Source organism: Homo sapiens, chromosome 9, assembly GCF_000001405.40.
Source record: "Homo sapiens chromosome 9, GRCh38.p14 Primary Assembly".
NCBI classification, from domain to species: Eukaryota; Metazoa; Chordata; class Mammalia; order Primates; family Hominidae; genus Homo; species Homo sapiens.
This window is the reverse complement of record NC_000009.12, coordinates 120,816,053-120,837,398: the sequence shown is the minus strand read 5'-3', so window position 1 is coordinate 120,837,398 and position 21,346 is coordinate 120,816,053. Positions and strand designations below refer to the sequence as shown.

The window sequence follows — 21,346 nt, the reverse complement described above, 5'->3', positions numbered from 1 at the left end:
TGACAGAGAGAGCTTGTCTAAAAAAAAGAACAAAGTGATACAAAGTAGAATTAATCAAAATTAAACATTCGGTTCTTCAGGCTAGGTGGTGGCTAACGCCTGTAATCCCAGCACTTTGGAAGGCTGAGGTGGGCGGATCATGAGGTCAGGAGTTTCAGACCAGCCTGACCAACATGGTGAAACCCTGTCTCTACTAAAAATACAAAAATTGGCTGGGCGCGGTGGCTAACGCCTGTAATCCCAGCATTTTGGGAGGCCAAGGTGGGCAGATCACGAGGTCAGGAGATAGAGACCATCCTGGCTAACACAGTGAAACCCCATCTCTACTAAAAATACCAAAAATTAGCCAGGCATAGTGGCAGGCACCTGTAGTCCCAGCTACTCGGGAGGCTGAGGCAGGAGAATCGCTTGAACCTGGGAGGCAGAGGTTGCAGTGAGCCAAGATCGCACCACTGCACTCTAGCCTGGGCAACAGAGTGAGACTCAGTCTCAAAAAAAAAAAAAAAAATCGGTTCTTCGAAGGTTACATACAGTTAAGAGAATGAAAAGAAAAGTCACAAATGGAGAAAAATCTTTGTGAAGAATATATCTGATAAAAGACTTCTTTTCAGAATATGTAAGGAGCTTTCAAAACTAAATAGCAAGAAAATAAATAACCCAATTAAAACATGGGCCAAAGATTTGAACAAGAAGTACAGATGGGGCCAGGCATGGTGGCTCACACCTGTAATCCCAGCACTTTGGGAGGCCAAGGCAGGTGGATCACCTGAGGTCAGGAATTCGAGGCCAGCCTGGCCAACCTGGTGAAACCCCATCTCTACTAAAAATACAAAAATTAGCTGGGCTTGGTGGCAGACACCTGTGATCCCAGCTACTCGGGAGGCTGAGGCAGGAGAATCACTTGAACCCAGGAGGTGGAGGTTGCAGTGAGCCAAGATCACGCCATCGCACTCCAGCCTGGGCAACAGAGCGAGACTCCATCTCAAAAAAAAAAAAAAAAAGTACAGATGATAAATATGCACGTAGAAAGATATTCAACATTAAATAGGGAAATACAAATTAAAATTACAGTGAGATTCTACTGCACACTATTAGATTGGCTAAAATTTTAAAAGGCACAGAAGCAATGCAACCCACATGTGCAACCAAAGTGTCTATGAAGGGATGAATGGATAAACAAAATGGGGTATATACATATGATGGGATATTGTACATCTTGCCTCAAAAAGAAAGGAAATTCTGACAGATGAACTTTGAAGACGTTGTGCTAAATGAAATAAACCAGACACAAAAGGATAAATGTTGTATGCTTTTACTTACATACCTAGAGTAGTCAAATCTAGAGAGACAGAAAGTGGAATGGTGGTTGCCAGGTGCTTGGGGAGGGGAGAATAGGGAGTGTTCAATGGATGCAGAGTTTCTGGTTGGGAAGAGGAAAATGTTCTGGAGATGGACGATGGTGATGGCTGGACAACAAAGTGAATGTACTTATTCCCACAGAACTGTGCGTTTAAGAGTGGTTAAAATGGTAAATTTTACCTGTAATCACATTTTTTTTTTAAAAGGAAAAGAAAACCATACTTGTAAGTATCCTCATTCCTCCTCTTCCCCGTTCCTCCAGCCTCTGGCAACCAGGAATCTACTTTATTTTATTTTATTTTTTTTTTTTGAGACAGAGTTTCGTTCTTGTCGCCTAGGCTGGAGTGCGATGGCGCTATCTCGACTCACTGCAACTGCCGCCTCCTGGGTTCAAGCGATTCTCCTGCCTCAGCCTCCTGAAGTAGGTGGGATTACAGGCGCCCACTACCACACCCAGCTAATTTTTTTTGTATTTTTAGTTGAGATGGGGTTTCACCATGTTGGCCAGTCTGGTCTTGAACTCCTGACCTCAGGTGACCCACCTGCTATGGCCTCCCAAAGTGCTGGGATTACAGGCGTGAGTCACCGAGCCTAGCGGAATCTACTTTCTATATGGATTCGTCTATTCTGGACATTTCATATAAACAGAATCATTCTCAAAAGGAAGCCTTTTGTGTCTGGCTTATTTCACTTAGCATAATATTTTAAAGGTTTATTCATATTGTGATATGTATCATTACTTCATTGCTTTTTATGGCTGAATAATATTCATTATATGCACATAACACATGTTTATCCTTTCATCACTTGGTGGACATTTGGATTGTTTCCACTGCTGTGAACATTTGTGTACAAGTTTTGTGAAAATAGCATGTTTTCAATTATCTTTGGTATAAAAACATTCTTAATACTACCTTAGGTTCAATTATGCAAAGTGAAATTCCTGAATTAAAAGAGTATGTTCATTTTTAAGGCTTTTCATTTGTATCATGTAGTTACCTACCCAAAAGGTTGTATCAGTTGAATTGTGTACTACTACTAACAATATATTAGCCCATTTATTTGTAGTGTCTATTAAGAGACAAGAAAATTGTTCTGAAAACATCTTCTGTATCTACCACTGGTAGTCATCAGTTTCTCTTACATAGTTCTTCCCTCTTCTCTCTATCCTCACTGCTGCTCCCCTGGTTTACTCCTTCATCACCTCTCACCATTTACTGCCTTGTAATTGAAAATTCTTCCCCTAACACTGGTGCAGAGTGAATTCTATAAGTCAGATCTCGTCATTTTACTTCTTTAAGACCACTTATGGCCTGCCATTGATTTTCTGGAAGAAGTCTAAATTCCAAGCATGACATAAAATACCTGTTAGAATCTGGCTTCTGTGCATCTTTTCAGTTTCAGTTCTTGTCCTTCACCTCACCCTTTTACCTTCTCACCACCTCTCTCCCATTCTGACCCCAATCATACCAAACTACTTGTTCCTTGAAAGTATAATACTATGTCTTATTCCTCTCTGCCTTTTCATGTGCTGCTACTCCCTCTACCTAGAACACTTTTCTTCTGGATAACTCCTACTTTTTCTTAAAATTTAGTTTAGATGTTACCCTTCTGGGAAGCCTTCCCTGTACCCTCTGTTCTTTTTTAAGCTCCTATAGTTTCTAGTCTTAGCCCATAGCGTTTATTTATCTGGATTACAGTTGCCTTTTTTTTCTGTATCTTTCATTGTATTGAGCTCCTTAAGACTAGAGAATATATCGGGCCAGGCACGGTGTCTCACACCTGTAATCCCAGCACTTTGGGAGGCTGAGGTGGGAGAATCACAAGGTCAGGAGATCGAGATCATCATGGCTAACACAGTGAAACCCCCGTCTCTGCTAAAAATACAAAAAGTTAGCCGGGTGTGGTGGCATGCACCTGTAGTCCCAGCTACTCGGGAGGCTGAGGCAGGGGAATTGTTTGAACCCAGGAGGCGGAGGTTGCAGTGAGCAGAGATCGTGCCACTGTACTCCAGCCTGGGCAACAGAGCGAGACTCTGTCTCAAAAAAAAAAAAAAAAAAAAAAGGCCAGGTGCGGTGGCCCAAGCCTGTAATCCCAGCATTTTGGGAGGCCGAGGCAGGTGGATCACCTGAGGTCAGGAGTTCGAGACCAGCCTGGCCAACATGGTGAAACCTCGTCTCTAAAAATACAAAAATTATCCCAGCATGGTGGCAGGCCCCTGTAATCCCAGCTACTCGGGAGGCTGAGGCAGGAGAATTGCTTGAACCTGGGAGGTGGAGGTTGCAGTGAGCCAAGATCAGGCCATTGCACTCCAGCCTGGGCGACAGAGCAAAACTCCACCTCAAAAAAAAAAAAAAAAAAAAAAAAGAAGACTAGAGTGCATATCTTATTCTTCTCTGTTGCCCCAGCACAGGCAATGCGCATAATAGGTACTTAGCAAATGTTTAGTAGGTGAGTGAAAGCTGCTGTTTCAAAAAGAAGTCTGTGTGGAGGAGACGCTGACGCAAGCTTCAGCTATTATTAGGTTGTTACTTCCTACCTGGGCAGGATATGAACTAATAAGATTTATGATGTCTCCTTCAGGGAAAAGACTACTTTGTGTGTATCCATTCTGGAGAGATTGCTCCAAGCTATGGAACCGGTTCACGTGGCCCGGAACCTCAGGGTTGACCTGCAGAGGGGACTAATTCACCCTGATGATTCTGTAAAAATCCTCACTCTTTCCCAGGTATGAAATTCTACTAGGAACCGACATTGACCACCTGCTCTGGGCCAGGTTCTGCACTGGGACAGAAAGATGAAGAAAGCACAGTATTTCTCTCTCTCCTTCCCTCTTCCTTCTCCCCCTCTCCTCTGCTCCCTCTTTCCCCCTAGGAAATGTGTGGTCTATTCCAATGTGCATAGCTAACTATAACCTGGGAGATACAAGCTAAAGAAAGAAGTTCCATTAAGTACCATCTAAATCATTCATTAATCAGATACTGACTGAGTTCCTTTTACATGCCAGGCATGGTGCCATATGCTGTTAGAGTTACCAAGATAAACAAAACTGATTACTTTCCTTCAAGGAGCTCCTAGTGTAAAGAAAAAGATTCCTATGTGTTCAAATAGCTCTCTGCCATTTTAGATTCTTTACACTGGATGAACCAAATGCTATTGTAAAGGTCACTAAACCAACAATTAAGACAGTAACTCTTATCATCCTGGTAACCAAAGCATCCTTGCTATTTGAGTGAAGAGCTGCTGCTAAGGATTATCTTGTTGAAATGTTAGGAGCTAAACAGTTACTCAGTAGATACTGAACTACTGTTTTTCCTTTTCTGTGTTTATTCAGCAAAAAAGGGCGCTGGGCACAGTGGCTCACGCCTGTAATCCCAGCACTTTGGGAAGCCAAGGCAGGCGGATCACCTGAGGTCAGGAGTTCAAGACCAGCCTGGCCAACATGGTGAAACCCTGTCTCTACACAAATACAGAAATTAGCTGGGCATGATGGCAGGTGCCTGTAATCCCAGCTACTCAGGAGCCTGAGGTGGGAGAATCGTTTGAACCCAGGAGGCAGAGGTTGTAGTGAGCTGAGATCGCGCCACTGCACTCCAGCCTGGGCGAAAGAGTGAGACTCCATCTCAAAAAAAAAAAAAAAAAAAAAGGTTGGGGGAAAGGGGGAAGATATCAGTTTATTCACTGGCCATTTATATGCCAGACACTGTAGCAGGTGCTTTGCCTGTTCGGTCTCATTTAATCTTCGTAACTATCCTGGAATTAAATATTGTGTTCCCATTTTACGGATAAGAAATGGGGCTAAAATTTGTGCAAGGTCAGTGTAGCTAAACATAGAGCTGGGTTTGTATTGTTTTCACTCACTGAACTATCTTACCTCTTTACCCACTTTCTTTTTTCTTTCCTTTCAAAGATGTGACTATACCATATGTGTGTTTGACTGAATGAATTTAGGTCATTTTGATTTTTTAATGAATTGATATATAGCTGTGATCACTAACTCCTAAAATAACTGTGCACTAAGGAAATTGGACCATCGTGTGTTTACCGTATGTTGCCCTACTTTAGAAGAGTGTTTCTGATTGTTTTTCTTTCAGATTGGAAGAATTGTTGAAAATTCTGATGCTGTTACTGAGATTCTAAATAATGCTGAATTACTAAAACAAATTGTTTATTGCATTGGTGGAGAGAATCTATCTGTAGCAAAAGCGGTGAGTCTACTAGAATCATTGACTTAAATGTGCAGAGACATCGGTGTCCCAAAAGATAAAGAAAGGCCTTCTGAATTGAGAGGTGAAGGTTTAGAATGGATGATTTGCGTAATGGAATTTACAACTTCATATGGATTGTGTAAAATAAATGGTTGTCAAGTAAATACTAGTAAACCCCTTTCATTTTCTAGGATATACATATCTACAGTATCCATCATAATTCTATGGGGGATACCTTGCGTCTTTTCCAATTATAAATAATAGCTAAAACATGGGCAAGGTGCATTCCATGCACTATTTTTACATCACTCTTATGAAGTAGATAATAACCTGCATTTTGGGAATGTAAGAGATATTTTCTTTCGTTATAAGGCTATCAAATCCCTGTCAAGAATATCACTAACCCAAGCTGGACTGGAGGCTTTATTTGAAAGCAATCTGCTGGATGATTTGAAAAGTGTAATGAAAACAAATGACATTGTTCGATACAGGGTGTATGAGGTAAGATAAAAAGCACACTTTCTCATGCTTACAAAGCAGAATGCAGTTTGGCTTATGCTGAAAAGCAAGATGGCTCATTAAGTATATAATCTGTGTTTGGCCCTACAGTAGGTGCTGGGAATATAAGGATGCATTCCCAGCCTAGTATGTGAGACAGTCATAAAAAATACTTACAGCCCAGCTCTATGGGAGGCAAGGGCAGGAGGACCCCTTGAGGCCAGGAGTTTCAGACCAGCCTGGGCAACATAGTGAGACCCCATCTCTACAACGATTTTAAAAATTAGCTGTGCATGGTGGTATGTGCATGTCGTCCCAGCTACTCAGGAGGTTGAAGTGGGAGGATCAACTGAGCCCAGAAAGTTGAAGCAGCAGTGAGCCGTGGTTGCACTACTGCACTCCAGCCTGGCCAACAGAGCAAGACCCTTTTTATATATATATATATATTTACAGTGCAATATAATTACTATGATAGAGAAGATATTGAAACCAGACTTGAAAAAATTTGTAGTAGTAATAAGAAATGGCCCTTATTTGTACCAGCTTTGTACTAAGCACTATGCTAAAATACTCACATATATTATCTTTAATTCTTACAGTAAACTTTGTATGTTGTTATCATTAACCTCATATTGATGGAGCAATTGATCCAAGACCACACAGTTAATAGGGTGCATGTTTGAAATAGAATCCTCTATAGTCTAATTCCATCTTCAGAACACTTTCTTACTTTGCATGTCATGATACCATACTATGCTGCTTTTCCTTCTACCTCTCAGTTTCTTCTCAGCCTCCTGGCTCATTATCCTCCGTTGAATCTTTAATTGTTGGAGTTGATGAAAACAGAGTTCCAAGCCCTGCTTTCACGGTACTCTACTCATTCCTAGGCAGTTTTACTCACTTATGATTTCACTTCCCATCAGTGATGATGCCTCTCAGATGTAAACTTCCAACTGAGACCTTTCTTCTGAGCTCGAACCTTCATGCTCAACTGCTTACTCACTCTTGGCCCCTTGGGTATATTCTAGGCCACTCAAACTCATGCTGAAATCAAATTCCTGATCTTCCTTATCCACCCTATCCCCCTAATAAAAAATAAGACAACAAACTGGCTGTGTCTCACAGTCTGCTTAGTTGGGTATTAGACCTTGGCTCATTCTGAGGCCTGTTTTCCTTGCCACATATCCATTCGGTCATCATATTTTGTTGATTTTATTTAAACCCCTGCATTTCTCTTCATTAGTACAGCTTCTACCACCCTAGACTAACTTACTGGTGTCACTCACCTGGGCTACTATATTTGCATCCAAACTGGTCTCCACTCATCCATTTTTATCATCCCTAGTCTATCTTCTCATGCAGTCAGAATGGTCTTTTAAAAGTCCAAATCTGATTGTGTCATTTCTCTGCTTAAAACCCTTCAGTGTCTTCCTATATCTCTCAGTAAGACCTCAGAACATACTTGCTGAATGAGTGAGTGAATGACTGACTGACTGACTGACAGGATGCCTGAATGAGTGAATGGTTTTATAATCTGTTTGTTGTGGCTGATTCAGGCTTTTGTACCCTGATTGATGATTGCTTGGGCGGGAAAGTGCTGATACACCTAGATATAATGGAACATTTCTGTGCCAAGGTGGCAGGGCATGGTGGCTCATGCCTGTAATCTCAACACTTCAGGAGGCCAGGGCGGGCAGATCACTTGAGGGCAGGAGTTCAAGACAAGCCTGGCCAACATAGCAAAACCCCATCGCTACTAAAAATACAAAACAATTAGCCAGGTGTGGTGGTGCATGCCTGTAATCCCAGCTACTGGGGAGGCTGAGGCACGAGAATCGCTTGAACTCAAGAGGCAGAGGTTGCAGTGAGCTGAGATCACGCCACTGCACTCCAGCCTAGGTGACAGAGTGAGACTCTGTCTCAAAAATAATAATAATAATAATCTGTGCCAAAGTAATTTCTTATGCGTTCACTGAAGTTTTTCTACTTAAAGAGACAAATAATGGATTTTTTAAAACTCATTTATAAAAAGTACCTAGTCCTACATTTAACTTAAAATGAGATCTATCAGGCGTAGGGCTGATTTGACCTTTTTCTTTTTTCTGTGTTTTTTTTTTTATTTCAGCTAATTATAGAGATTTCTTCCGTGTCACCAGAATCTTTAAACTACTGTACCACAAGTGGATTGGTAACCCAGCTCCTGAGAGAGCTGACTGGTGAGGATGTGTTGGTCAGGTGTGTTGACTGAGTTCTTAAAGTGAAATATCCTCTTTTGAAGGGCTGGGAAACAACCTTGGGACATCTGTGATTTTCTCTATTAGAGACTTTGCCCAGGTTGCAATCTCATGACTGATGTGTGTCCTGAAGGAGGGATCTTTAGAAAATTGTTCAAGTTACATCGTGACAACATACTGGAACTTGGGAAAGCCCCACATGACAATTCAGCTACTTTCAAGTGACTCTGTTCCATGTCCCTAGGCCTGTGTGCTCTTAAAAAGTTGCAATCATGTGGTAACTGCCATTTTGAATTACTAATATTTTATCATATTCATTTATTTTGGCATTGTTAAATAGCAACACTATGGCATGATAGAAAAAACATGGGCTAGGCCGGGTGCGGTGGCTCACGCCTGTAATCCCAGCACTTTGGGAGGCTGAGGTGGGCGATTCATGAGGTCAGGAGTTCAAGACCAGCCTGGCCAACATAGTGAAACCCTGTCCCTACTAAAAATACAAAAATTAGCTGGGTATGGTGGCATGTGCCTATATTCCCAGCTACTCAGGAGGCTGAGGAAGGAGAATTGCTTGAACCTGGGAGGTGGAGGTTGCACCACTGTACTCCAGCCTGGGCAACAGAGTAAGACTCTGTCTCAAAAAAAAAAAAAAAAAAGAATATGAGCTTTTCAAAATGAGGAAGACTTGGCTTGCATGCCTCTCTACTATTTATTAGCTGTTTGGCCTTGGACAGATAATTATAAGCTTTCTACATCTCAGTTTCCTCATCTCTCAGAACAGTAACTAAAAAAGATATTGTGCCAGGTGCAGTGGCTCACAGCCTGTAATCCCAGCACTTTGGGAGGCTGAGGCGGATGGATTACCTGAGGTCAGGAATTCAGGACCAGCCTGGCCAATACGGTGAAACCCTGTCTCTACTAAAAAAATACAAAAAATTAGCTGGGCGTGGTGGTGGGTGCCTGTAATCCTAGCTACTGGGAAGGCTGAGACAAGAGAATTGCTTAAACCCGGGAGGTGAAGATTGCAGGGAGCCAAGATCGTGCCATTGCACTCCAGCCTGGGCAACAAGAGCAAAACTCCGTCTCAAAAAAAATAAAAAGATATTGTAAGAATTAAGCTAATTGACCATAGAAAGCAGTACAATGGCTGACATAGGTTCTCAAAGAAATGTTAATTCCAGTCTCTTCCACCCGCTATTCCCTAAATCCCCTTTAATATCTGCCAAATGTTCTTTTGTTGATATTCCACAGTTTACTAATACCTCCTCACTGTTGAACAGTTGATTTGCTTCAAGTATTTTGCTGTTATGATAGCATTATAGTTATCTTTGTGTATATAGGTTTTGATTTTTCTTATCTTAAATGATTTTCTGATTGTCCTGTGTTCTTTAAACATGGCTGAATTTATTAAACCCATATGAGTAAATCAGTCACTAGTTACATTGCTTCAGTGCATTTGAGTGTCTCAACCTAATGAGACAATTAATTTTGTTAATTATTTTTTAGCATTGTATCAAATTTTGTGACATAGAAAAAAACCTGTAAATGGTCAGTCAAAACAGTTTAGGATCAACCACCAACTAAATAAATTTTTTAGTTATTTTCTTTGATCATGGTTGGATATGAGATGATACCAAAGAATTATTGTTAATTTCTTAATATGTGGCAGTGGCATTATAATTGTGTAAGGAAACATATGTGTTTTGTAGAGATGCATACTAAAGTATGCAGGGGTAAATGGCAGGGTGACTAGGATTTGCTTTAAAATAGTTCAGCAAAAAGTAGGGAAAAGAGATGAAATAAGTAAAGCAAAATCTTCATAACCATAAAATCAGGTTATGTGTATATGGGGGCTTATTGTATTCTCATTACTTTTGTGTATGATATTTCAAAATAAAACACAAATTTAGAAAATATTTTAGGAAGCAGCTAGGTTATAGTGGAAACAATAGTGGACTTCAAATCAGAAGGTCAAGATTTAAATCTAAACTCTGCCTATAATAACAATATGATTACAGAGAAGTCACTGCAAATTTCTAGGCCTTAGGGCTTCATGTGAAAAGAGGAGCCAAGATTATTGACCTTTCGAATGTGATAAGAAGAATTAAATAAGATAACCTGTATGAGAGCAATTTATAAACTATGCAAATCCTGTGCAAAATCTCCTTGTTTTTGTCCTTCTGACATTTTAGAGCCACCTGTATAGAAATGGTGACATCACTGGCATATACTCATCATGGGCGACAATATCTTGCTCAAGAAGGAGTAATTGACCAAATTTCTAATATAATTGTTGGGGCAGATTCAGACCCTTTCTCTAGCTTCTATCTGCCAGGTAAGGAACACTGATGCCTATGGAAATGATGGTGCGTGTTTTATTTCTGAGTTATCTCTGACATCAGGGGGTTGGGGTAGGGAGTGGACAGGGATTGTTTTCCTTTAGAGCTGATTTCCTTAATGAGCTGATTTCGTTTAGAAGATATCTAGAGCAACCAAGTTCAAATTCAACAGCACATTAAAAGGGTCATCCACCCTGATGAAGTGGGATTTATCCTATGGATGCAGGGAGGGTTCAGCATATACAAATCAATAAATAAGATATACTATGTTAACAGAATAAAGACAGCAACCAAGTAATGCGGGAAAAGCATTTCACAAATTTCACCTTTCTTTTATGATAAAAACTCTTAACAAATAAAGTATAGAAGGAATCTATCTCAACACAATAAAGGCCATGTATGACAAACCCACAGCTAACATACTCAGCGGTGAAAAGTTGAAAGCGTTCCTCTAAGATCAGGAACAAGGCCGGGCGCAGTGGCTCATGCCTGTAATCCCAACACTCTGGGAGGCCAAGGCAGGCAGATCATGAGGTCAGGTGATCGAGACCATCCTGGCTAACACAGTGAAACCCCATCTCAACTAAAAATACAAAAAATTAGCCGGGCATGGTGGTGGGTGCCGGTAGTCCCAGCTACTCAGGAGGCTGAGGCAGGAGAATCCTTTGAACCTGGGAGGTGGAGATTGCAGTGAGCCAGGATCGCGCCACTGCACTCCAGCCTGGACAACAGAGTGAGACTCCATCTCAAAAAAAAAAAAAAAAAAAGATCAGGACAAGGATGCCCACAATTACCACTTCTATTCAGCAAAGTACAAGAAGTTATAGCCAGAGCAATTAGGCAAGATAAATAAATAAAAGGCATCCAAATCGGAAAGAAAGAAGTGAAAATTTCCCTGTTTGCAAGTGATGTAATGTTTTATTAATATATAGAATAAAGTTTCCACCAAAAAACTGTTAGAATGAATAAATAAATTCAATAAAGCTGCAGGATACAAAATCAGTGCATAAAAATCCGTAGCATTTCTATACACTAACAGTGAACTCTGAAAAAGTAATCAAAGATACATTCCCATTTACAATAGCATTCAAAAAAAATTAAATATTTATGAATAAATTTAAGGAGGTGAAAGATCTGTACACTGAAAACTATAAAAACTGATGAAGGAAATTGAAGAAGACACAAATAAATGGAAAGGTATCCTATGTTCATGGATTGGAAGGATTAATATTATTAAAATGTTCATGCTGCCCAAAGCACTATATAGATTCAGTGCATTCCCTCCAAAATTTTTAAATTTAATGACATTTTTCACGAAAGCAGAAAAAATAATTTTTAAATATACATATTTCAGAATACATTGTTCACAATAAAGATATATGATTTTTTGTCAGTTAAAAGTTAATTTTTTTAAAAAGATACCTATAGCCTCTTATTGAGGTGGAATCTGTTGCTCTTGGAGCTACGTACTGTTGACTTTGGTTTTCTGGAAACATCAGTGCTATTTAGAACATTAGGATATTTTTCTTTTTGAATATCAACAAAAACATAAATAAAAATACTAGTAATGACATTTACAGTATGTTTCACAGATTAATCACATCTCTGAGTGGGAGTCTTTATCTGTTGTAGGATCTACTCTTGCCATTCTATTCTGGGTTTTGGTTGATTAGTCTTTCTTGAACACTTCCAGAAATTGGAGATGTATGCCTGCCTTAGGTAGCCTAGCTTATTTTATTAATGAACATATCCATTTAAAAATTTCTTCCTGGTAATGAGTCTAAACTTGCCTTCCTGTAATTTGTATCCACTGGTCCTTTTTCTTTGTTCTCCCTCTTGCATATGCCAGTACTTCAATAGCTGGTCCCAGCTCCATTGACGCCCTCTCTCAGGATCACACATCACAGGTCCTTCAGAATCTCCTAATGGTCTCTCTGATCTCCAGGCAACACACTACTCTAACCTTTCTATGCTTTTCTGGCCTGCAGTTCATTTCTGTTCCTGTGAAGTCATAGAGCCCGCAATTCATGCTGTCTTGTTCCCCTATTAAAATATATTTTTGTAAATCTCTTTAGGATTCGTGAAGTTTTTTGGAAACCTGGCTGTCATGGATAGTCCTCAACAGATCTGTGAGCGTTATCCTATCTTTGTGGAAAAAGTCTTTGAAATGATAGAAAGTCAGGACCCCACTATGATTGGTGTAGCTGTAGACACAGTTGGAATCTTGGGATCCAATGTTGAAGGAAAACAGGTTTTACAGAAAACAGGTTGGTATGACTTGGCCCTGTTCAGGGATATCTTAATCTTTGACAGGGGTTCAATATGTAAGTTCATTTGCTGGTGGGTTAACTACATTGTAGAAACTATTTTATGGGTGGCAGTCTTGTTAACCATGACCTTGTACTCATGTCTGAAAATCTAATAATTATTACGGAAAACCTTTTTTTTTTTTTTTTTGACTTTTCACTGGTTTAGGTTTTCATTGGTTTAGGTTTCTACCAATCGATTTCAACCAAACATTGTTTCCTGTTTCCCCTCTATGATGTCTTCTTTGACTAGATTTCATGGTACAAAGACCACGGGCTAGAGTCAGAAAGGTCTGGATTCATGTCCTTGGGTTTTCTATTCTTTTTTTTTTTTTTTTTTTTTTTAAGAGATTGAGAGTGTCTCTCTGTTACCCAGGCTGGCCCCGAACTCCCGGGCTCAAGCAATCCTCCTGCCTCATCCTCTTGATTGGCTGGGTCTACAGGTCCACACCATTGTATCCAGCCCTGACTTTGCTTTTTGAACTTCATTTACTCACTTCACTTTTCTAGGCCTCATTTTCTTCATTTATAAAAATGGCATAACAACTGCTTCTCAGGGTTGTTGTGAATATTTATGAAATTTTGAGAAAGGAAAATAAAAGTTTGTTATAAGATTTCATGTTAAGAGATACTTTTGGCATGTTAAGAGATACAATGGTTCATGCCTGTAATCCAGCACTTTGGGAGGCTAAGGTGGGTGGGTTGCCTGAGCTCAGGAGTTCAAGACCAGGCTGGGCAACATGGCAAAATCCTATCTCTACTCAAGAATACAAAAATTAACCAGGCATGGTACTGCACAACTGTAGTCCCAGCTACTTGAGAAGCTGAGGAAGGAGAATCTCTTGAACCTGGCAGGTGGAGGTTGCAGTGAGCTGAGATCATGCCACTACACTCCAGCCTGGGTGACAGAGTGAAATTCTATCTCAAAAAAAAAAAAAAAAAAAGAGGCCAGGTATGGTGGCTCATGCCTGTAATCCCAGCATTTTGGGAGGCCAAAGCAGGTGGATCACTTGAGGTCAGGAGCTCGAGACCAGCCTGGCCAACATGGTGAAACCCTGTCTCTACTAAAAGTACAAAAATCAGCCAAGCGTGGTGGTGCATGCCTGCAGTCCCAGCTACTCGGGAGGCTGAGGCAGGAGAATGGCATGAACACAGGAGGTAAAGGTTGCAGTGAGCCGAGATCACACCACTGCACTCCAGCCTGGGCGACAGTGCGAGACTCTGTAAAAAAAAAAAAAAAGAAAGAAAGAAAGATACTTTTATGGAACATCCATGAGGATCAACAGCACAACAAATTTTACACACAAAATAATATGCAGCCCAATTATTAAAATTCTTGAGACACATATGTTGAAAATTATCTCACCTGTAATCCCAGCACTTCAGGAGGCCAAGGCGGGAGGATCGTTTGAGCCCAGGAATTCAAGACCAGCTTCGTCAACAACAACAACAAAAAAAATTAGCCAGCTGTGGTGGTGCATGCCTATAGTCCCAGCCACTCGGGAGGCTGAGGTGGGAGAATCATTTGAGCCCAGGAGGTGAAGGCTGTAGTGAGCCTTGATCACTCAGTTGCACTGCAGCCTAGGTGACAGAGTGAGACCCCATCTCAAAAAAAAAATTTAAAAAGAGGCCAGGCGAGGTGGCTCATGCCTGTAATCCCAACACTTTGGGAGGCCAAGGTGGGTAGATTACCTGAGGTCAAGAGTTCGAGACCAGCCTGGCCAACATGGTCTCTACTAAAAATACAAAAATTAGCTAGGTGTGATGGCAGGCGCCTGTAATCCCAGCTACTCGGGAGGTTGAGGCAGGAGAATCGCTTGAACCTGGGCCGTGAGTCGAGATTGCGCCATTGCACTCCAGCCTGGGTGACACAGCAAGACTCCATCTCAAAAAAATAAAAATTAGAAAATAGAAAAAGAAAAAAAGAAAATTAATACGCTGTTGTGTATCACAGCTAATATTTTTGTTATATGTCGTTTTCTAAGTGCTTTTACCTATGACAATCGTTTTACAGTCCTGCAAAGAACATACATTGTCATTTTCATTTTCCAGATAAGGTAGATGAAACTTAGAGGAGTTAAGAAAATTTCTAAGGTCATACAAATTATGGCAGCTGCTACTCAAGTCCAGGTCCTTTGATTCCAGTTTTATAACTTTGCCTTATATATGCTGTGTTGCGTGTAATTATGTGTTCTAGGCCTGTCACTGGTTCTCTGACTACATGCTTATTTTTGTATTGGTTTAGGTTGGTAGAGGTCATAGTGTATGAGAGCATACTTTAAAAAAATCTCATTTTTCACTTCATATCCATTAGGATGGCTATTACTTTAAAAAAAAACCCATAAAATAATAAGTGTTAGGATGTGGAGAAATTGTAACCCTTGTACATTTTATATTTCCTTCATCCAGCAGCTCCACTTTCAGGTATATACCAAAAAAAATTGAAAGCAGAGACTCAAACAAATGTTTGTACAGTCATGTTCATAGCAGCGTTATTCACAATAACCAAAAAAAGGTGCAAGCAACCCAATGTTCATTGATAGATGAATCAATAAACAAAATGTGGTATATACATACAATTGAATATTACTCAGCCTTTAAAAAGAATGAGATTCTGGCACATGCTACAGCATGGAGGAAGCCTGCGCCACTGATAACATTATGCTAAGTGAAGTAAGCCAAACACATAAGGACAGATATTGTATGATTCCACTTAGATGAGATGCCTAAAAGAGTCCAGTTCACAGGAGGTAGAATAGTGGTTGGCAGGGGATGAGGGTAGAGAAGAAAGGGAATTATTGTTTGATGGATACAGAGTTTCAGTTTGGGTTGATGAAAAAGTTCTAGAGATGGATGGTTATGATGGTTGCCCAACAGTGTGAATGTACTTAATAGCACTGAACTATACACTAAAAATGGTTAAAATGGTAAATTTTATGTTGTGTATATTTTACCATAATAAAGAAGAATCTCACTGTTATCCTTCAAAGGAACTCGCTTTGAACGCTTGCTTATGAGAATAGGACATCAATCAAAGAATGCCCCAGTGGAGCTAAAAATTAGATGTTTGGATGCAATTTCATCTCTTCTGTACTTACCAGTAAGTAGGTAGGGAAATAATGAAGGACAGTGGGATATGTTTGGGAGAATAAATCTGTATGAATCAACATGATAAATGTGATGAAGTAAATACAAGAAGATAACCCTCATTATATGACTAGTGACATTTTTAATTTAAAATGGAATCATAGAGTGTTAGAACTGAAGAGACTCTAGAGACTGCTTAATCAACCACATTCAAAGAAAACTGGGAAAGGTCTGGGCTGGATTTGAGAAAGAGTCCTCCAGACTTAGCCAGTTTCACACAACAAATTAATGACAGAGTGCCATCAGCACTCAGGTGTCTGACTTCTAAATAAGTGCTTTTCTCCAGATCAGTTAACTTTTGATGAGATTTTCCTTTTCTTTCCTGTAGCCTGAGCAGCAGACTGATGACCTTCTGAGGATGACAGAATCCTGGTTTTCTTCTTTATCTCGGGATCCACTGGAGCTCTTCCGTGGCATTAGTAGTCAGCCCTTCCCTGAACTACACTGTGCTGCCTTAAAAGTGTTTACGGTAGGTATTCACTTCCATAGGTCCTTCTGGGACCCTGCCAGCTCAACACTTGAGTACTTAACAGTGAGCCAGAGCCTGTGCCATCTCTGGGGATGCACAAGTGCATAGTATAGTTTCTACCTTCTGCTACCTTAGAGACTAAGTAAGGAGACAGATGTGTAAACAGATTGTTTCAGTAAAAGATATTAGGTGCTGTTTGAGGTTTGAACAGGATGCTATGGGATCACACAGTTAATTCCAGACTTTTTATCTGCCATCCTCTATTAACCTAGCCCTGGTCTTCCTAATCCTTATTTCCCGTGCAGAAAATAAGGCTTCTGGCACCTAATGCTCCAGTGGTACCAAACTGTTTGTTTTGTGTCTCTGGACCTTTGCTGGGGTCTCCGTATCTAACACTCTTCCTTAACTTTGCTTCTTAACCTCTTACTCACTCGTCAAGGACTAACTCCTTGTCTTCAGCACACTTTGCCCAGATTGACAAGGTTGAGTTAAACAATGTTGGTTCTCATATGTTGCATTTATTTATTCAGCAAATATTTGTTGAGTTTCCGTTTTTGCTCAGTGAAGGGCATACAACAGTGAAGAAAATATATAAAGACCTTCCTTTCATGTAGTTTCCTGTCTATTGAAGGAGCCAGGCAGTAAATATAATTGTACAGTTACTTATATAATTACAGCTGTGGTAAGGATTATACCTTTGTGTTCTATTTGTTATATTATTTTGCAAATGTTTATTTATCGACTTGTCTTACCTATTAAGTAGAGTTGGCTGAGAGCAGGAAGCATATCTGATTTATCTTTGTAGCCCCAGCATAGCAAGATAGTAATCGCTTTAGTAATCATATCAATAATGGGATCTCAGACAGCATACATGGCCTAGACTGGGAGGGAATAAGGAAAATGGCAGGGACAAAAGAGGGAAGGCTTCCTGAGGATGCGATACAGGATCTGGGTCTTGAAGGATACAGGTATTCCTATAATCTTCAGAAACATTTTTTTTTTTGAGACAGAGTCTCGCTCTGTCGCCCAGGCTGGAATGCAGTGGCGTGATCTTGGCTCACTGCAAGCACCACCTCCCGGGTTCACGCCATTCTCCTGCCTCAGCCTCCCGAGCAGCTAGCCTACGGGCGCCCACCACCATGCCCGACTAATTTCTTTTTGTATTTCTAGTAGAGACGGGGTTTCACTGTGTTAGCCAGGATGGTCTCGATCTCCTGACCTTGTGATCCGCCCGCCTCGGCCTCCCAGAGTGCTGGGATTACAGGCGTGAGCCACCGCGCCTAGCCAGAAACATTTCTTTAAGACTGCTTCACCCTTGTAAATGGTCATTGTATGAGATGGCCATTTTGGATCCTGCTTAGTATTTTCATTATTAGTTTATTTTGGTTTTGCTCTTCTACCTTATCCTGTGCTTAGCTGGTTCCATTGTAGAAATAATTTTCTATTTACTGGTTGGGATAACTATTTTTATTTCTGCCTACTTTCATGCTTGGTTGTGAAGCAGGCCAAAGTTTCTCAAACATTAATCTTAGGAATCTTATTAAAATGTAGATTCTAATTCAGTAGTTGTGGGGCAGAGCCTGGGATCCTGAAAGTCTAACAAGCTCGCAGGTGTTGCTGATGCTACTTGTCTGTGGAACACATTTTGAGAGGAAAAAACTAGGCCATAAACTTGTTACTTCTTTTTCATTAAAACGTAATAGGTTTTGAAAAACTTAATCTTAAAATTTGGAAAAGACTTAGAAGTAGAATTTTTTAAAATCACAGAAAGTTCTACCTTTTGGTGTATTTCCTTTTAGTTTTTGTATTAGTGTGTGTTTATTTTTGGTGAAATATTTCAAATATAGTTGTATCTTGCTACCTCTGCCCAGTCCTATTCCCCTTCCTCTGTTCTTAGATAAAATCACTATCACAAAGTCAGGGCCCATAAATGATTTCATATTTCTACTACATATTGTGTGTATCCTTAAATAAAACACAGTATTTTAGATATTCATAAACTTTGTAAGTGGTATCATGCTGTTTGTATCATTCCATTAGGTTGGTGCAAAAGTAATTGCAGTTTTTGCTTTTTTTTTTTTTCTCTTCAATGTTACGTTTTTTTAAAATTTGTCTATGTTAAAAGAGGCAGTTAGAAAGTTGGTATTTCATTGAATAGCCACAATATATCATTCTCCTATAAATGAAGATTTAGATAGTATCTTACAAATGATACCACAATGAACATTCTTGAAAATGTTTGTGCACTATATGAGTATCTTGAGGTTAGTCTTTTCTACTTTAGTTTTTATTTTTCCACTGTTGTAATCATGCATTGTTTATAATTTGAATCTGCTTTTTTTATATAACAGGTTTACCTGTATCATTTCCTATTTTTTGTAAACATTATTGTTAATGTTTATTTTTATTGCTATATACCATAATTTACTTAACCATTCTCCCATTATTAGATATTTATATTGTAACTTTCACACTATTATGAACATTTTTGTATACAAAGATTTTTCATATTTAAGATTATTTTATTAAGTTAGATTCTCAGGAAGGAATTTACTTAGACAAAAGGTAACATTTTTAAAGTTCATGTTGCCAGATTTCTTTGTAAATATTGTGCCATCCCATTAACAAACAACTTCCACTCAGGGGAATTGTATTCTTTCTGCCTTCCATTTCAGGCCATTGCAAACCAACCCTGGGCTCAGAAACTTATGTTTAACAGTCCAGGTTTTGTAGAATATGTGGTGGACCGGTCTGTGGAGCATGACAAAGCTTCAAAGGATGCCAAATATGAACTAGTGAAAGCACTTGCCAATTCCAAGACAATTGCAGAAATCTTTGGGAACCCAAATTATTTGAGGCTCAGAACTTACCTGAGTGAAGGGCCATACTATGTGAAACCTGTTTCCACGACAGCAGTAGAAGGAGCCGAATGATTTCTTCTAGAGCTCATGTAGAGGACCACGTTTTGACCAAAACTTCTCCTAAGGCATTTGACTCCATCTATATTTCACAAAAGAGACTTCCTTTCCCCAAGAATTATCATGGAATGTCAGATGTTACTTTGTTACCAACACTGTTATATTTCTACATTGAAATGCAAAGTGGAACTAGGAGTTTGGAATGCATTAAGAGCAGACAAGCTTGGTCATAATAGATCCAGTGTTTTTCAGATTCCTTTCACTGCCTTAATCTTTGCAACAGGGTGGAAGTTTTTTTCTTCCCTCAAAATTTTCATGGACATGCAATCTTATCTAAAAGCCTGCTTCAGGGCTGGGCGCGGTGGCTAACACCTATAATTCCCAGCACTTTGGGAGGCCAAGATGGGCAAATCACTTGAGTCTAGGAGTTCAAGACCAGCCTGGCCAATATGGCAAAACCCTGTCTCTACTAAAAATATAAAATCAGCCAGGCATGGTGGCGCACACCTATAATCTCAGCTACTCAGGAGGCTGAGGCACGAGAATCGCTTGAGCCTGGGAGGCAGAGGTTGCAGTGAGCTGAGATCTTGCCACTGCACACCAGCCTGGGCAACACAGCAAGACTCTGTCTCAAAAATAAATGAATAAAATAAAAACCTGCCACCAAATTATTTCTGGATTCTCTTCACTATCTTTTTTTTTCTTTTTGGTCCTTTTTCCATTTCTGATTCCACTTTCAAAGTCTTGGATATATTCTTTGAAAAATGAGTAGTATGGAATATTAAGATTATGTTCCTTATACTCAGAATACTTTTTATGAGCTCTCTTGTTTTTTTGTTACTATTATTCCTTTGAAAAAAAGACAAAATATCTAAAAAATGTTTATAGTGTTCATGTAATTTTTTTTGCTGTTTACCAATGAACTTTGCCCTGTTGTGGTTTTGGGGGATCAGAAGGATTCCTAAACTGTCATTTCATTTATTGGTAGGTCATGATTGCTGAGGGTTTTGCTTTGGATTTTTCATACCTATAAAGTCAATCTTGAGTTGATCAGAGAAAGGGAAACTTACTCCTAATAAACAGACTCAGAACAGAAGGGACATATGCATAAATCAGGATACCATCTCATTAATTTACAAAGGATAATCTTTCTTTTCATTGACAACACCTACACCCACCTGTTTTCCAGTGTTCTTCTCTCTAAACAGCAAAGCCAAAGCACTCTGCACACCAAATCACCTGTTCAGAGGTTTATGCATGAGCATATTTCTTTTAGGCCGTGGTGAAGTTGATAAACCACCCCTGCTTTGTAACAAAATTATTTTAAAGTGACTGGAATTATCTAGTCCCCAGATTGATCATCTCCCCTGGCAACGTGACTCTGTTTTTTGTGTGTGTTTCCATGCTGACTAGTCCCCTACTGTTAATATCACTACTAATTAGGCTATAACCAGGTCTTTCCTGGCCTGAGAAATATTCTCTTAAAATGACCTTTGTTTTAATCTCATTCATGATGTTGATTTTTTTTCAATGTGGTGCAATATATACAATAAAATTTGTCATAACTATTTTAAGTGTACAGTTCAGTATATTACATATGTTCATAAGTTGTACAACCATCACCACCATCCATCTTCAGAATTATTTTCATCTTATACAATTGAAACTGTATTCATTAAACAATAACTGTCTATTCCCTCTTTTCCCCAGCCTCTGGCAACCACCATTCTGCTTCATGACATTGATTTTATTCACTTAACATCAGATTTTGGGGGGATGCCCTCTCTCCTATGTATGGTCTACACATTCTGATTTTTTTTTTAGATTGAATAAAATTTGTAAATCATTATTTTCATTTCATAAGTAAA

General features: G+C 39.6%; 1 protein-coding gene across 2 annotated transcripts in view, besides 2 other annotated features; it reads left to right on the top strand.

The window, feature by feature from the left end:
* Positions 1 to 21,346, top strand: part of PSMD5 (proteasome 26S subunit, non-ATPase 5) — a 26,870-nt gene extending 5,524 nt beyond the window's left edge. Inside the window, exons 2-10 of one of the 2 annotated variants that reach the window (NM_005047.4) lie at positions 3,943 to 4,087; positions 5,454 to 5,567; positions 5,940 to 6,068; positions 8,191 to 8,300; positions 10,492 to 10,634; positions 12,714 to 12,905; positions 15,935 to 16,044; positions 16,420 to 16,560; positions 19,236 to 21,346. In NM_005047.4, coding sequence (NP_005038.1) covers positions 3,943 to 4,087; positions 5,454 to 5,567; positions 5,940 to 6,068; positions 8,191 to 8,300; positions 10,492 to 10,634; positions 12,714 to 12,905; positions 15,935 to 16,044; positions 16,420 to 16,560; positions 19,236 to 19,493 — 1,342 coding nt within the window. In that variant the 3' untranslated portion in view covers positions 19,494 to 21,346. The remainder of the gene's footprint in view (positions 1 to 3,942; positions 4,088 to 5,453; positions 5,568 to 5,939; positions 6,069 to 8,190; positions 8,301 to 10,491; positions 10,635 to 12,713; positions 12,906 to 15,934; positions 16,045 to 16,419; positions 16,561 to 19,235) is intronic. The other variant, NM_001270427.2, reaches the window with a different exon arrangement.
* Positions 3,497 to 4,040: an enhancer, noted in NCBI's record as "H3K4me1 hESC enhancer chr9:123595637-123596180 (GRCh37/hg19 assembly coordinates)". NCBI's record gives its function as "activates a minimal SCP1, AML or CMV promoter by ChIP-STARR-seq in naive H9 embryonic stem cells {active_cell/tissue: H9 hESC(naive)}" and the evidence as "EXISTENCE:reporter gene assay evidence [ECO:0000049][PMID:30033119]".
* Positions 12,473 to 12,672: a silencer, noted in NCBI's record as "fragment chr9:123587005-123587204 (GRCh37/hg19 assembly coordinates)". NCBI's record gives its function as "represses an EF-1alpha promoter that drives an FKBP-Casp9 reporter gene in an ReSE screen in HepG2 liver carcinoma cells {active_cell/tissue: HepG2}" and the evidence as "EXISTENCE:reporter gene assay evidence [ECO:0000049][PMID:32094911]".